The sequence below is a fragment of the Homo sapiens genome, chromosome 18 (genome assembly GCF_000001405.40).
Source record: "Homo sapiens chromosome 18, GRCh38.p14 Primary Assembly".
Classification (NCBI taxonomy): domain Eukaryota; kingdom Metazoa; phylum Chordata; class Mammalia; order Primates; family Hominidae; genus Homo; species Homo sapiens.
The window spans coordinates 50,119,004-50,135,659 of NC_000018.10; the positions used below are offsets into that span (position 1 = coordinate 50,119,004).

The 16,656-nt window shown below is 43.7% G+C and overlaps 1 protein-coding gene and 1 non-coding gene across 2 annotated transcripts in view, besides 3 other annotated features; both read right to left on the reverse strand.

Moving 5' to 3' along the window:
* Positions 1-16,656, reverse strand: part of MYO5B (myosin VB) — a 372,359-nt gene that overhangs the window by 296,215 nt on the left and 59,488 nt on the right. The gene's annotated exons all lie outside the window — the stretch shown is intronic.
* MIR4320 (microRNA 4320) lies at positions 7,496-7,560 on the reverse strand. The gene has a single exon (NR_036204.1). It is a non-coding gene; the product is annotated as a microRNA 4320 (primary transcript).
* Positions 8,354-9,553: an enhancer, noted in NCBI's record as "CDK7 strongly-dependent group 2 enhancer chr18:47653727-47654926 (GRCh37/hg19 assembly coordinates)". NCBI's record gives its function as "activates an origin of replication core promoter dependent on BRD2, BRD4, P300/CBP, MED14 and CDK7 cofactors, with strong dependence on CDK7, by STARR-seq in HCT116 cells {active_cell/tissue: HCT116}" and the evidence as "EXISTENCE:reporter gene assay evidence [ECO:0000049][PMID:35650434]".
* Positions 9,896-9,955: a silencer, noted in NCBI's record as "silent region_9452". NCBI's record gives its function as "represses an Ori minimal core promoter by ATAC-STARR-seq in GM12878 lymphoblastoid cells {active_cell/tissue: GM12878}" and the evidence as "EXISTENCE:reporter gene assay evidence [ECO:0000049][PMID:35858748]".
* Positions 12,849-12,898: an enhancer, noted in NCBI's record as "active region_13312". NCBI's record gives its function as "activates an Ori minimal core promoter by ATAC-STARR-seq in GM12878 lymphoblastoid cells {active_cell/tissue: GM12878}" and the evidence as "EXISTENCE:reporter gene assay evidence [ECO:0000049][PMID:35858748]".

Sequence of the window (16,656 nt, forward strand, 5' to 3'; positions counted from 1 at the left end):
CTCTACCTATAAGATGTAAATGATCAAGAGCTCTTCAAATTCTGGACTTCTAGAATAGTGTTTCTCTAATTTTAGCATGTATAAGAATCACCCAGAAAGAGATACCTGGATTCTGTGGAAACAGATTCCTGGATTCCTCCCCACTTACTGATTCTGCAGATCTGAGGTGGGGCCCAGGAATCTGGATTATAACCAGCTCCGGGTGATGCTGCAGAGGGGCCCACATGGAGCTGCACTGTTCTATCCCAGACGAGGGGCTCCTCCAACAGCATTTATATTGATTTTAAACATGAAGCTGAGTAGCAATTACCCTACAGGTTTCACATCCTTCAGCTTCCTATTCTTGTAATCCTCAACAAATTCTGTTTTCTCTCCTCACTCATTACACCAACAGCTGCATTCCATCTCCCTCAACTTTTTGTCTGTGGATTCAGAGATTGCTGTCACTGCAAACAGAGTAATCTCGTGGGCTGTAGAAGTTTTCTGTTCAATGATCTATCCAGTTCGCATGACAGGGTCAGAGAGAGACAACTGGAAAGGATAATTTCCTCATCCTGAAGATGAGAAAGAGGGAGATTCCGGAGCTTTCCCGAAGTCCCAGGGTCAGTGAGCGGCAGGAATTAGTTCATGATCTCCAGCTCAATTATTCACATGTCTCCTTCTCCTAAGGGAGGGATGTATTAAAGGGAAAACCTCATCAATATAAATCAGCCCGAGTTGTTCATCGCGCCACTTATCACTGAACTACACTCCAGCTCTTTTTCAAGTACTTGTCCCAGAGCTTCAAAGAAAATTTTTAAAGAAAATAAGCTAGAGAAGGTCTTGCTGAAAAAGGAAAAAAAATTAGTTTGCTGTGATACCTTCTGAGAAGCACAAATATTTTAAATGAACTGGTGAACTAGACCCTTCCTCAACAGTGGGCTAGAACCAAGAGAGAGGGGCAGCCCTCTCATAGCTCCAAAGTTGAATATTGTGCTCCCTGGGAACATATTTAAAAAAAGGTCTAGCTTCTAGCACATACGGCACTAAAAAAGGCATTAAACAGAAACACCACTGTGTTCTCCACAGAAAGTGGTGTGTGCATTTACAAAACTTAAGTATTTAAGCAATCCACTTCAGCATTTATGATATAGACAGAAGGAACAAAGACTTATCGAGCAGTGCTTTCAATTTTAATGCCTTTTGGGGGCCAGAAGTATAATTGGTCAGCTTCACAACCTTCACAGTGTTCTTCTCCTCCAGGAAGCACCGAGTGTAAATGTGGAAGACTCAAGTGAGGTCTGAAGACAATGTCTGCTCGAGATTGGCTTCCCAGAGCCATAGGTTTCTAGCATCTGTCTTCTGAACCCCTTGCCTGACTCACTAAAGGTGAAACATGGAAGGAGATGCAGGCAGCAGGAGGGTGACCCCTCAATTCTCAGGGCAGTGTTGGTCTGCGTTGCTGGGACCCAGAGAATCCCATGTGAGGTCTCAACGGGCCATGTCCTAAGGAAGCACACCTACGAAGTGGAACTGTCAGAGCCACTAGGAGCATTTGTCTACCGTCCTCAGCCCTCTTCCCCCAGGGTGGTATGCAGAATGCCCTGGACAGGAGCCAGCCAGCAATCCAGGGTCCCAGCCTGGCCCTTCTGAGTAAGCTGCTCGACCTCAAGCAGGTCATAGCTGAGCCTCAGCTTCTTTGTATGTGATATGGAGACAATAATCCCTGCTTAGTCTAGGGGTGGAGAACACCTTGTGCCAGGGTAAAAGGCTACCTCTGGTTTTAGGGGAGTCCCCATTCTTAATGTACACCCCCAGGCTGGCCCACCTTCACAAGAGCAGCTGATGAGCACTGCTACTTCCTGGTCAGCTGGTAGATGGTGAAAGCTGACCTGCACGCCATTTAAAAGGCTTCCAATGTTTCAGGAGCTTCTAAGGCCAAACTCCTCAGCTAGAGAATGAAGGACTCTTCTATCCACCTCCAGCCTGCCCTCCAGCCCGGGAGTCAGCAAGACCAGCAACTTACGGCCAGTGCAGATGCACCTGCTCTCCTCTGGGCATTTTCAAACCCCACTCCCATATCTGAGATGCTTTCCCTTCTCCTCTGTTTCTCAGTCCTCGAGGCCTAGTGTGGGTTCCTCCTCTGTGAATCCTTTCTGTCCTGAGAAGTCTCTTTCCTTCCCTCTGTGAAACTTTCCCTGAACTCCTGCAGTAGCACCATCAGCCCCCAGCGTGCCCACGTGGTCTTCATTCCAAAGCTTGCGTTATCTGTCCCTTCTAGATTATAAGCACCTCAAGGCCTCACTTATTTCTTCACTCCAGTGTCCAAAGTGGTCTAATAAACATTGCTAGAATACATACACTGGTAGCTTTATATAGTGAGACAATTATAGTATCAATGACCTTCTTAAGTAAAATTCCAAGTCTTGTGTATGTCTTTCTAAACAAACTTAGCATGTGAAAATTGGATTTACCTAAAAGATTTATCAAAGGGCTCTGTGTAGCAGCATTCACCAGAGGACTCCTTTAAATATCAAGTGCCCCTGCATTAAAACAGGATTCAGTTTGATATTTTTTCAGGAACTCTCAATTTACTGAGAATTAACTATCACCAATGGAAGGCATTCTTCAGAACTCACTATGATCAGGGCCTGCCCTGTGTGCCTCCTCACTTCATCATTCAATGTAAATACAAAGCACCCACTTAAATGGTCACAGGGACAAGAAAAAGACCCTATAGCCCCACAAACCCAAACAGGCACTGTCTTCACTAATGCCCAACCACTGCAGCTGCCACAGCCTCTAGCCCAGGGATACCTCCAGCAATGTAGGTCCTGACTCATGGATCTACTAGCAGACAACCAAAGACTGCCAGGACCCCATGCAACTACCAATAACAGCCCTTTCTCACTGCAATCTGTAAAGTCTTTGCTTTTGACTAAAATATTTGAAGTGGACATCACCCTTTGTTTCCTTTTTCCTACTTCCAAGATTCACACTGGCTATGGAAAGTTCATGAGGCTTGCAGTCAAATAGGCAGGACTGAACCGACCCCCAAAGCTGCTGCTTTGCAGCCATGCAACCTCAAGTGCATAATTTAGTCTCAGTCTGTTTCCTCGTGGAAAAAGCAGGGTGCTGTGAGAACTAAACATAAAGTACAGAAAGTACCAGAACACTGGGCACAGATGAGGCATTTGCTCAATGACAATTTTCGCCACCAAAACACCCTTCTCCTAATCACACAAATTCATTTTAAAAGCCACTAAGTGGTAGGATATCTGCCCTAAGTAGAAATGTGGTTCTTCTTTGGTGGCGCTTAATTTAAAAACAGAACCCTGGCCAGGCGTGGTGGCTCATGCCTGTAATCCCAGCACTTTCGCAGGCCGAGGCAGGCAGATCACTTGAGGTCAGGAGTTTGAGATCAGCCTGGCCAACATGGTGAAACCCTGTCTCAACTAAAAAAAAAAAAAAAAAAAAAATCAGCCAGGTGTGGTGGCAGGTGCCTATGATCCCAGCTACTTGGGAGACTGAGGCAGGAGAATCCCTTAAACCTGGGAAGCAGTTTGTGCCACTGCACTCCAGCCTGGGGGAGAGGGAGAGAGGAAGAGAGGGGGAGAGAGAGAGAAAGAGAGGGAGGGAGGGAAGGGGGGGGGAGAGAGAGAGAGAGAGAGAGAGAGAGAGAGAGAGAGAGAGAGAGAGAGAGACTGACTGCATCTCAAAAATAATAAATAAAAATTAAAAAATAACAGACCCTGAAATGCAAATCAAAACCACAATAAGACACCATTTTACATCCACTAGGATGGCCTCAATAAAAAATAAAATAGAAAATAAGGTGTCAACAAAGATGTAGAGAAATTGGAACCCTCAGACATCGACTGCTGATGTGAATGTAAAATGCTGCAGCTGCTGTGGAAAACAGCTTGATGTCACCTGAGAAAGCTGAACACAGAATTACCATGTGATCTAGCAATTCCACTGCATGCTATATACCCAAAATAACTGAAAATAGGTACTGAAATACTTTTCTATGAAAGTGAATGGCAGCATTATTCACAACAGGTAAAAGGTGGAAACAACCCAAGTGTCTATCAGCTGCACAATGGAGAAAATGCGGTACATCCCTACAACGGACTATGTTCTCATACAGCCTACTATGCAGGTGAACCTCAAAAATATGCTAAGTCAAAGAAGTCAGGCACAAAAAGTCACATATTATATGATTCCATTTAATATGAAATATCCAGAATACACAAATCCATAGACAGAAAGCAGATTAGTGGCTACCAGGGGCCAACAGGAGGGAGAAATGGGTACAGGTCTCCTTTGTGGGTTATGAAAATATTTTGGAACTAGAGAGAGGGAGTGTTTGCACAACATTGTGGATGAACTGAATACTACTGAACTGTACACTTTAAATGGGTAATTGTATATTATGTGAATTTCACTTCAATTTTTAAAAATTGGCCAGGTGAGGTGGCTCACACCTGTAACCCCAGCGATGGAGGATAAGGTGGGAAGATTGCTTGAAATCAGGAATTCGAGACCAGCCTGGGCAACATAGCAAAAACCCATCTCTGCAAAAAATATAAATAAAAATAAAAAAAACTAGCCAGGCATGGTGGTGCACCGTACAGTCCCAGCTCCTTGGGAGGTCAAGGCTGCAGTAAGCCATGATCGTACCACTGCACTCCAGGCCTGGGTGACAGGGCAAGACCCTGTCTCAAAAAAAGTTAAGGCTCTATAAGATGATAAAAGGTTTTCCACTTTTCAAAGAAAGATATAGAGGTGTCACTCTTTTGCAGTCATTCCTCAAATACCTACTGGAAGCCTGCTACACGTAAAACACCAGACAATGCTGGTACTTGCCCTCATATATCTTACAGCCTAGTGGATCATTTGTAGCATCAAATACTTTATGTATATATACGATACACACACAGATACATGCCGTCCACAGAAGGCATCCTTTTCTCCCAGTCAAAGCTCAGTGAGTCTTTTGAGTGACTGCAGATATGCCCATAATTATGTGTCTATAAATAAGACCATTTCCACCATGGGCACATTATTTGTGCTTTTGCGCTTAGTAAATCTGATTAAATTCTCATCTAAAAATTCAACAAAGTCACACTGCACCCTATGATTAACACACAATGTCCTTATAACCTATGTGCAAATACCAGATACATCCTCCGATAAGATGGCCTCACTTAAATTGGGTCTTGACAGTGCAGAGAGGTTCTGGTAACTGAACATTTTATTCTCGAAGCTTTATAGACTTCGTTATAAAACTGTGAGATTCTTTCAGAGTTTTCCAATACACAGTGCAAAACATTTTCCTCAACATGTGGCTTATTTGGTTGAATAGACAATCATTCCCAAAGGGGAGTTGGTACACCTTTTCCCATGCACATGGTCCCATCACTCTCCTTCAACTCATGGGGTAGCGGCATTCCTATTATGGGAGTCATCGTTCTGCTCTTCTATTAAATGGATTAGGGAAAGTGTGATTGTCTACTTCAAGTTGTTTTCAAGTGAATGTTAAAAAGAAAAAAAAGAAAACAACAACAACAAAAAACTTTTGAAGAATAATACCCTGTAACTAGAAAATGCTTTGGAACCAGAAGGAAAGACATGTATAGCCTGCATAGAATCCCTGTGCAAATCCCTCATCTGGAATATGCATAAACCTGCTGTGAGCAAAGTGAAATCTTTCCCCCCTGGTGCCCTTCCTATCAGTAACTCCACATCACTGCTTGCAATTGACACATCTCTCCCCCCGCCCCACCCCGCTTGATCATTTTGAAAAGTATATGTTATTTTTAAGCGTCAACTTATTTCAGGAATGTGTACAGTCTTTCTTAATAAACTGCAGATAACAACATAAGAATTGGGAAGCCCCACTTTAATTTCCCCAGACTGGGAGAGGACAGAGGCTGCAAGGATCAATAAAGAGACTACAGTATGGAAACCAGACTCAAATCAAGGACTGGATATAAGCAGCTGGAGCAGAAGTCTTCAGAAACCAAGCCCACCCTGACTCCTAGCCCTACTTTTGGGGAGCCTGCCACAGATGGTACCCCTGCTGACTGCAAGGCCTGGCACAAGCCCCAGGGTCTCCAAGCCATTTGAATGGTATTGAACAGAGCGCAAACCTACCTTTACAGCTTCTCTTTCTCAAGGGCACTATGCTGCACACCTTTCTAAATATCAAACTGAACAATGAATGTTAAGAGATGCATCAATGGATGAAGCTGGAAACCATCATTCCGAGCAAACTGTCGCAAGGAAAGAAAACCAAACACCGCATGTTCTCACTCATGGTGGGAATTGAACAATGAGAACACTTGGACACAGGGTGGGGAACATCACACACCGGACCCTGTTGTGGGGTGGGGGGAGGGGGAAGGGATAGCATTAGGAGATATACCTAATGTAAATGACGAGTTAATGGGTGCAGCACACCAACATGGCACATTTATACATATGTAACAAACCTGCACGTTGTGTACATGTAACCTACAACTTAAAGTATAATAGTAATAATAATAAAAAGAAAGAAAAGTCTTATTTAGCAAACACTCATATATAGTGCTTGCTATGTGTCAGGAACAGTTCAAATACTAGGTTATTCAATCTTCAAAATGACCCTATGATGATTCAGCAATTCTACTTCTAGGAATGTAACTGAGAGAATCAACAGCAGGAATTCAAACAGATAGCTGTATACCAAGTTCACAGACACATTCATCACAATAGACAAAAGGTAGACACAACCCAAATATTCACAGATCAGTGGATCAACAAGCAGACTATCCATACAATTCATTATTATTAGCCTTAAAAGGGAAGGAAATTCTAACACATACTATCACATGGATGAACCTTCAGGATGCTATGCTAAGAGAAATAAGCCAGAAAAGGACAAGACTGTATGACTCCACTTACATGAGGGACCTAGAAGAGGCAAATCCATAGAGACAGAAAGTAGACTGGTGGGTGCCAGGGGCTGCGAGGAAGGGGTTACTGTTTAATGGGTGCAGAGATTCTGTTTAGGATAATGAAAAAGTTCTTGGATGGTGGTCGTGATTGCACACAATGTGAACGTACTTAATGCCACTGAACTGTATACTGAAAAATGGTGAAAATATGGTTAAAATGGTAAATTGTTATGTGTATTTTACCACAACTAAAAAATGTTTAAAAGTTAAAAAACAGTAAATTTTACTTATATTTTACCATAATAAAAACAAACAACCCTGAAACAGGGAAACAGGTCCTTTACTATAATGCTTATTTTCCAGATGTGGGCACCCCTGGCCAGACCAAACACCACACTGGACACTAGAGACACAGTAGTGAACAAAACAGCCTCTAGCCCTGCCCTGATAGAACCTGCATTCCACTGGGGAGACACATCAACCATCTTTTAATTCAATTAAGGCAGAGACCACAAAGTGAAGAATGGAGCTAAGAGGGCAAATCACAGGGGACCACAAAGTGGGGGCTGTCAGGGCAAAGTTGCCAGGAAGCTACAGAATCCCGAGTTATCTGAAATGTCTACAGCAAACCCCACATGTCACTCTGGTGAGCAAAGGCCTTGACAAGTCAAGAGCTTGCACACATTCCTGCTCTCAATTCATACGTGGTCCAAGCTCTAGCAAACTCCCTAGTGAACAGCAGTCATGCGTGAATCATCTCCAGGACCTGATCAAATGGGTCTCAGAACAGCAGCACAGCTCTCCAAGCCTCCAATGCATTTTCACACCATCTTCTAGCACACTATGGCAGTGAAGAGCATGCATGGTGAAGCCAGACTTCCTGGGCTTGAATCCCAGCCCTGCTGCTCTCTGGCTCTGTAACCTTGGGCAAGTTACTAGATCTCTGAATCTCAGCATCTCATTGTAAAATAGGGTTATTAAATGAGCTGACATACAGGAAGTTTTTACAATTCATTGGTTAGTGTCACAGAAAAAAGCAAGTTTTTAAAAAGTATTTTTTAGAACAATCCTTGCCACATAGAGAGTTAGCTGTTATTCTCATAATCATTATTACCTTATTCCAACCTCATAAGACCCAAGAGGCAGGTGGGGCAAGATCAAACTGCCCCCAGTTAACATAGGCAATTGAGGCAAAGGAAGAGCAAGTTGCTTGAGTTTACATTGCTAGTTAGAGCCCCCTACTCTTCCCACCACACTGTGGCACTTACGATAATTCAAAAGCATTTGATGAAAATTTCTAGCATCTCAACCATATTTGGGCACCTATTATATACCAGATACTGGCCATCCTTTCTTCTAGTGCCTGTAGGAACCAAGAACCCAGGTTCTCCAAGCCCATCATCTTGGTCTGTAATCCCAGCAGCCAAGTTTTGAACGCTTCACTTTATCTACTGGAAAACTGGGCTAAGAGAACAAGCTTTTACTGAGCACCTACAACAGATGCAGTGCTCTACATTACAGGGAAGACAAGAGTGGTCAAACTCATGGTATCTGCCACCCTTCACACCTGGTAGAGGAGGTAAGGAGTCCTCAGCTGAAAGAGAACAATGGAGGGGCAGGTACCACTAATTGCTGAGCCCTGGTGGAGCGCATAAAAGGTAGAGGAATCCAGCTAAGCCAGTCAAGTGTAAGTTGATGTAATCAGGGAAAACCTCACGGAAGAGGTGGGATTTAGGTGGGGCTTTAAAGATTGCTTACTGGGATGATCAATTTTATGTGTCAACTTATGTGGCCACTGGGTGCCCACACATTTGGCCAAGCACTATTCTGGGTGTGTCCATGAAGCTGTTTCTAGATGAGGTTAACATCTGAGTCAGTCGACTGAGTAAAGCAGGTTGCCCTCCCCACTGCGGGTGGGCCTCATGCAATCAGTTGAAAACCCAATTAGAACAAAAAGTCTGGGTAAAAGGGAACCCTGCCTGTTTGAGCTGGGACACTGCTATTTTTCCCACCTTCAGACTCAAACTGAGACATGAGCTCTTTCCAGGTCTCAAGCCTGCTGGCTTTTGGAACTTACACCACTGACTCTGCTGGTTCTCAGGCCTTTGGACTCAGCCTGGAACTACACCATCAGCTCTCCTGGGTTTCCAGCTTGCTGAATGCAGATCTTAGGACCTGTTGGCCTCTGTAATTGTGTGAGTAATTCCATAATATATAAATATGTGTATTTCCTATAGTTATCTTTCTCTAGAGAATCCTAATACACTACTATTGGTTTGGCAGAGAGTAAAAGGGGAGGAAAGCTTCCAGAAGTCTAAGAAATTGAATGAAAAGCGAAGATGTGAAAAAATGAGAGAATAGGAAGGCCATGAGAAAATGGCTTTGAAGGGGGAGAGAGAACAAACAGGAATGAGGACTGTGAGGTGCAACAGCTGATCTGAGAACAGCTGATGGATTCTGAACATGACCCTCCACACAGGTAGATGGGGTGCCTGTGATCTTGAGAATCACACAAAAGCAGAGTTTAGGAGAAGTGATCCCACATGGATAAGCGTAGAAAAGCCTGGAGCCCAGGAGGCCAGCAGCATATACCTGTCCAGGTAGGAGAAGACATGTGGGGTGCGATAGCAGCGCCTAGCTCAGTGACAGGAAGTCTCTCGTGCCTTGAGAACAGAGGACTCTCACACTCCCTTGGATTTATCAACAGCTCGGAGAGCAGTTCTGCACCCTGCCCAGGTACAAAGGCCAAAGAGCCCAGGGAGAAGGCCACGTGCCAGCACCTAAGAATCCGAGATCCTTTACACATCCCCAGTCTGTCACTCAAGCCCTCCGGGTCTCAGTTTCCCTCCCTGTGACATGCGTACCAGAAGGAATGTGAGGATAAAATGTGAAAGAACATTGGAGGAGGAAGTGGCCCAGTGAGAAGGGGGAAACCACCTTCCACCAGAAACTGCTTTGGTGTGAAGCCTCAGAATACCCAATCAGCGGCTGCCGGCTGGAAAAGCAGGCTTTTTATTGACAAACCCGCAGAGGATCACCTTCACAAAACACACCCAGGGCCTAATTAAAATCACAGAAGAACCACCTGCCAAATCTCACGGTAAGTCACTGCTTAATGCAGGGCTGTCAGAGCCGGCTCAGGAGAATGAGGTGGCAGGGAATGCTCAGTGATGTGAAAGGAGCCCAGGCCAGGCCCCACGGTGGTGGGAGCATGGCCTGATGGACGGAGAGGGATGGAGGGCTGGGCCCAAGCAGGACTGTGGAGAGGGCAGGGACTTCCCAGTACAGCAATTCCTGGAGCTGGAGCTAGAGCTTATCTCACATTTACAATCCCATAGACTCCAGCAAATGCTGTCCACACAGCACACTTACCACAAACCCAGGGCATCCCTTTCTCCTCAAGGGAACTTCAACAGACAAGCTTCTGCCCTATATTAATTGTCATGCCACCAATGTAACTAAAACACCATATATATTCCATGAAAGGAAACAGGAAATGAACTCCGATAAGGCAGAAAACTCAAATCACTGGAGCTCTTGTCCAGCATTCTGATTTAAGGAATGCAGGCAAATGATCCACGAGCTAATACCAGAGATGTGATCATAACAGCTGTACTTACAGACACCTCACCATACGCCAGCCCATTTCCTAGAGCCTTTCTGTAGTAACTTCTTTAATTCCCACAGCCCTATGAAACATCATCTCCATTTTGCAGATGAGGAAACTAAATGTGAAGAAGTGGAATAACTTGCCCGAGGTCCCTAGGGAGTAGCAGAGCTGGAATCTGAGTCCAGGCAAGAATCTAGATCCCAAAACCTGAGCCCTTTTCAAGAGTGCCAAAGTTCAAAAATCCTCTATACCTTGCATCTCTAAACCAAATCATGGGACTAGTACAGGAGCCTCCGCCAACAAGAAAAGTCAGAAGAGGGGCTTTGTTTTGTCTCCTGATTTTTCTCAATTTTCTAAAATGAACATGAAGTGCTTCTTTAGACAGAAAAATGAAAACTAAACCAACTTTTTTTCCCAATGACCACCGCCCCACCTCCTGCAGTCTTCCTTCAAACCCTTCCCAGGAGCAGTGCAGCTCAGAGCTCTCTACCCTACCTGAGCACTCAGCATGTTCAGCACAGCCTGCACTGAATTAGCTCCTCAAAAACAGAAACATTGATGCAACCACAGCAAGGCTGAGTGCCAGGCAGGCCACCAGGAGACTGGGCTGGAATCAGCTGTCAGCTACCTAGTGATCCAATTAAGAAATGTTGGTTAATACTGGGGGTACAATTAAAAATACATCAGCCATATTTTTTTAAGCCTCTTGTGATTTTTTCAAGAACTTCCTTGAAATAAAAAGCTTTGCTCATTATCGATTAGCCAGCAGAAGGCATCAGGACTTATAATTAAGTTTTCTTGGATAAGGAAAAACTCCCAGTTGCCCTGTAGAATTTGACGAATGGCAATCAGATGGCTTATGCCTGAGCACTTCCTTAGGGCCTCCAGAAGGAAACCTGTACAACCTTGGTAGCTTCTGGAGGTTACCCTGAGATGTACACACATGCGGTTCATTTCTGTGGCTCTAGGAAGGTCTTCCTGGGCATTGGCAAAGGCTCCTTCAAAAGGAGACAAGAAGAATGAGAACGAGCAATATCCACCCTACCTGAACTGGTGGGTACTGATGCAGAAATCAGGAAATTAAAAGCACCCTCCGTGGATTTATTGTTTAATCATGAACACCAGGCCTGAATTCTAAGAACACCGGTGAAATACAAGCCAGTTAGAACGGTTCAGATGAACCAACAATATCGTCTACACAGGATGCCACAAACTCTTCCCTGGCCATTTTTCATCTGCTCAAATTTGCAAAAGACTCGTTTTACAAAACGACTGTGATGTGCACTGCTAACAGGAAATGGGTAAGGAATCCCGAATAAGCTCATCTCTCAGGAAAAGGTAGTTTCCCTTTTGGCTTTATCACCCTAACCAAGCTCCTCTCCTTCCAGGGGACTTCAGGAGTCATTTATCCCAAGCTGAGTAGTTACATGGCAGAAAAACCTCTAGCCCCATGCCTATCATGTTCCAGCTATGGAATGTGCAGCAAGCCTCTTCCTCCAATCTTCAATTCTTACAACTGATGAACAGGAATCAAGTTCTGCTTAGGTCACAGGGCTTTCTGTGAGAATCAAATGAGATGACATCTAGCACGGCACTTTAAAAGCATTAAAGCCCTATACTAGCTAATATTAGTCATTAATTGCATGGAATCATAGAATAGAATGCATAGAAACTTAGTCCTGAAAGGGAGTCCTAATTTGAAAACTATTTGATAAAACTCACACTGCAGGCTCTAACCCACCAACTCACTGGCCTTTTGTTGCCAGACTTTGGCTACCAGGAAGAAACATCCCACTCCATCCAAGCACATTTGTACCATGAGTCTTTGAGCACACCAATAGGACTATGAAACAGGCAGCCAAATCCCTATCAAAAATGGCCTCATCAAATCACATCCAAAGTTAGAGTCCAAGGAAAAATAATAGGTACTGAGCCCACTCCCTCACTCCTGCCACTTCCTACAGACACTTTCAATCAAGCCACCTTTCTGACATTGGCCACAAGCATTTCAATATTGGCATGGCACTTGGCCCAGTGCTTTGTACTCCCTGGAGCTAAATTATCATCATAAGTATTATTATTCTTTGATAGCAAGGTAGGCTGAATGGTGCATTAAAAGCATTTGTAGCTCAAAAACCTATGGGGGCAACAGGCAGTTTGAAAGCATTTAGCTGGATACAGTACTGAGATCAGTGAAAAAGCTCATTTGTCACCATGACAGGAGGTGATAATGTGACATTTCACAAGTTTCAAAACAGCAGGGGAAACCACCTCCCCTCTATTATTTGTAGCAATGCTGGACTCCCAAACACACACTCTGCATGAACTATGAATCACTCTAATTATTCAGCAGGCTGAATACCAAACCAATCACCATCCACAATCAGATCTGGACCTGAACTTTTTGTGAAGAGAGAACATTTATCATTTCTGTACCTGCAGTTTTCCCCCATTGGCACTATTTTTTCCCAAACAATAATTTGCAGAATTCTTTATTGAAAGGGGCTCCTGCTTCCACAGTGGGCTTAGCAAAATATACCACATTTCCTGTTTTCTTCCCTCTTCCCAAGTGTGCCAATACTTCCTCCCCACTTTAAGAATAAAATCAAGAACAAAACACAAGCATTATCCCCCAAACCCTCACTTGCTCTCCGCTTTGAAACAGTGGCCACGGCAGTCCTTTTAGGATCCTCTGGAAATTTAAGAACATTTGGGCATGGTTGGAGGAGCAGAGCATAATGGTTACACGTCAAGTGCTCAAATCTTGGTGCAGCTACTTCTTAGCTGTGTGACCTTATCCAAGTTACTAAACCTCTCTGGGTTTCAGTTTAATTATGTAAAGTTGAGGTAGTAGAGACTTGTGTCCTTCTGTCGTTGTAAAGATTGAATATGAGATTAATATATATTCCAGGTACTGTGATATGACATCACAATGGTTCTGTGTAAATTAATAATGCTGATATATAACATTAACTCTTTCTAGGCCGACAAGTCCAGTCAACAGCAGTCTGCCATAGGCTGGGGAAGAAAATGAACATTAATACTTATTTCACTTGTGCTCAGTAAAATGCTTATCTCCACCATGCTCCCCTCTTCTCTGCCATCTCTCTTCCTGGGAATAGGGTTGCCTGCTCAGAATTAGCCCAGGAATAGATTATGGTGGTTGCCACTAAGCAAGTGGATAGAGAAAATTCGCATGGGTTGAACCTCCAATGTTTAAACATAGTTAAGTGGGAGCATGAGACAAAAACTTCCAAGTACCTTGGCTGAAGCGTGAAAGGCAGGTAAGTTCTATAAGGAAATACCTTTTAATCCCTTAAATCATTTCACACTGCTTTCCTCCACCTCCTTCTCACAGCTCCCTGGTTACATATACATCCATAGCTTCAACCACTGGGATGTATTTAAAAGCCTTCTTAATTTAAATCAGTGGGAGGGGGAAATTTTTTTCTACTAATTTAGAGAGACCCAAGTTCATAGTTTTTTGCTTTTTGTTTTAAATAAGCCTGGAAGATGATTCTCCAAGACCAGTCTATGCTGCTGAGGGCAGAATTAATCCAGAATATGACTGTTTCCTTCCTGGAAAAGCAAAAATATCAATGAGGAGGAGTGAGTCTCAAGTTCCTTATCCATGGCCCCCTTCAAAGTACTTCAACACAGACTACATATCCCAGGCAAAAAGAGATTCAAGCCATACAGAAACACTATTTTTGTTCTCTGTCTTCTCTAGTGCTCTCCTCAAATTGGAAAAGGTAAAAATAAGCACAAACAAAATAACCACAAAGAAGATACTACATCCCAAGATCAGAGAGGAGTTCATGAGAGTGCTTGCTGCCTTAAACGAGGCTAATGTTTGGGCCTTAATGCTATTCCAAAGTATTAAAAGAACCTTCAATAGAAAGAGTGAAAGCTCATATGGTGCAGACGTCAGAAACATGACCCAGAAGGAAAAGGTAGGTGCAGACACAACTGCTGAAGCTGCCCAGTGAAGGAAGTTGACTCAAGAACCAAGAGAAGTCATGTGATGAGCCCAGAAATCCCTCCATCCCTCCGTCCGTCCGTCTGTCTGTCTGTCCCCCCACTGCAACCCCATGACTGTCCTGGTATATTACACTCCAGCTTATTCCTCACTTTGCAAGGTGGGGCTTATACAGCAGTGGCTGTCAGACTCTGATCTTTAACAGAATCACCTGGGGCACTTGGTCAAAACACAAAGGCCCAGGCCCCTCCCACCTCCAGGAGCCTGGGACTCCGCATTCTTCATCAGCTCTCCAGGTGATTCTAGATGCAAAGTTTGAGAACCATATGGCCACAAAAAAAAGGAGGGAGGTGGGGGGAGTTATTTAAACACAAAAGGGAGCAATCTTTGAGATATCTTTAAGAGAAAGACACAAGTGCAGAACAGTGTGTTTAGCATGCTGCCTTATGTATAAGAAAAGATGGGGCAATGAAAATAAAGGTTTTTTAAAGATGGGAGTGAGACAGATACAAGATATATAGATATAGAGTATCTCTAAAAAGATCCACAAGAAACCTGTTACACTGGTTGCTCCCGGAAAAAGGAACTGCCTGACTGGGGACAAAGGCAGAAGGAAAACATCACCATATTGCTTTTCAGCTCTTTGAATTTAACTACACAGATACATTATCAAATAAATTTGTTGTTCAAACTTCAAAGGGATAGACAGAGGCACATAAAAACAAGTAAAAATAGTGATTAAGGGATAAAAATAGCCGCGTGGCAGGGCTCGGTGGCTCACGCCTGTAATCCCAGCACTATGGGAGACCAAGGTGGGTGGATCACAAGGTCATGAGATCGAGACCATCCTAGCCAACACGGTGAAACCCCATCTCTACTAAAAGTGCAAAAACTTAGCCAGGTGTGGTGGCAGGTACCTGTAATCCCAGCTACTCGGGAGGCTGAGGCAGGAGAATCACTTGAACCCAGGAGGCGGAGGTTGCAGTGAGCCGAGATCGCGCCATTGCACTCCAGCCTGGGCGATAGAGTGAGACTCCATCTCAATAAATAAATAAATAAATAAATAAATAAATAAATAAATAAATAAATAATAGCAGCCTCAAGGGTTAGTATTCCAGAGCTCTCAGTGATTTCTTGCATGTAAGAACCCTTCTCTTCTGCCTGGGCTGCACCGAGGCTCCAGAAGTCAAAGAGAGACACTCCATCCACCTGCTGAGGGAAACGGTGCCCTGGGGATTGCTCACGAGGCACTTCATATATTCTCTTCATGGAATTTTTGTCTTCCAAGTCAACTGCTAACTCTTTGAAAGAACAGACTATTCCTCAACCACCTTAATTATCTCCCTTGATGCTTGAAGTCACTTAATCAATGCCTACAGACACTTACTCAGATCTGTCTTTGCAAGAGATAAAACAATCATTTATAACTAGATTCAGAGCTTTGAAATTAAGTTCCTCAACTGTTTGTTATACAGGCTGATTTGGATTGCTCTGCCTGATTGTAATAAGTGTGTTCCTCTAAGATAATGCCCTCCACTCTTCCTCTTTAAATACACATATCAACCGGGAAATACACAAGGCAACAAGAGTCTATTTCTCCTGACCCAACTGCCAACAAAATTCTGCCCTCAAGTGTTTGTATCCTGCCTCATATTCCTGAGACCATCTCCCACTTCTTACTCCCTGTACTACTTTGGAAGAGAAAAATAGCCACATTTCCTTCCAATTTCACTTCTCTCCTCCCTTCAAGAAAGCCTGCTTGCTTTGAGGTTTTTCAAGACAGTCTAGCAGACAGGCGAGTCCAGAAGACTCAACCTTTCAACCTACAAAGTTTAGGGAAAGTGAAAAGATATCAATTATGTAATGATGAAAGGAGAATGGATAATCCAACATGTCAAGAGATGATCATATTCGTCTTTGCCAGATTCAAAAATCCACTTTACAGTTGACATCACTCCCATCTGTATGTACACGCACACACCTTTCTCTGGACAGACTGAAACCCTCTAGGTAAAGAGACAAGGATTCCAAGGATGTCCCAAAGACACCTCTCTGGTTGAAAGGGCTAAGTATTCAATCTAGATAAATCATTCCCAGAGAGAAGATAATATGTATTTAAATGGCTAATTTCATCATTTTTGGTGTAT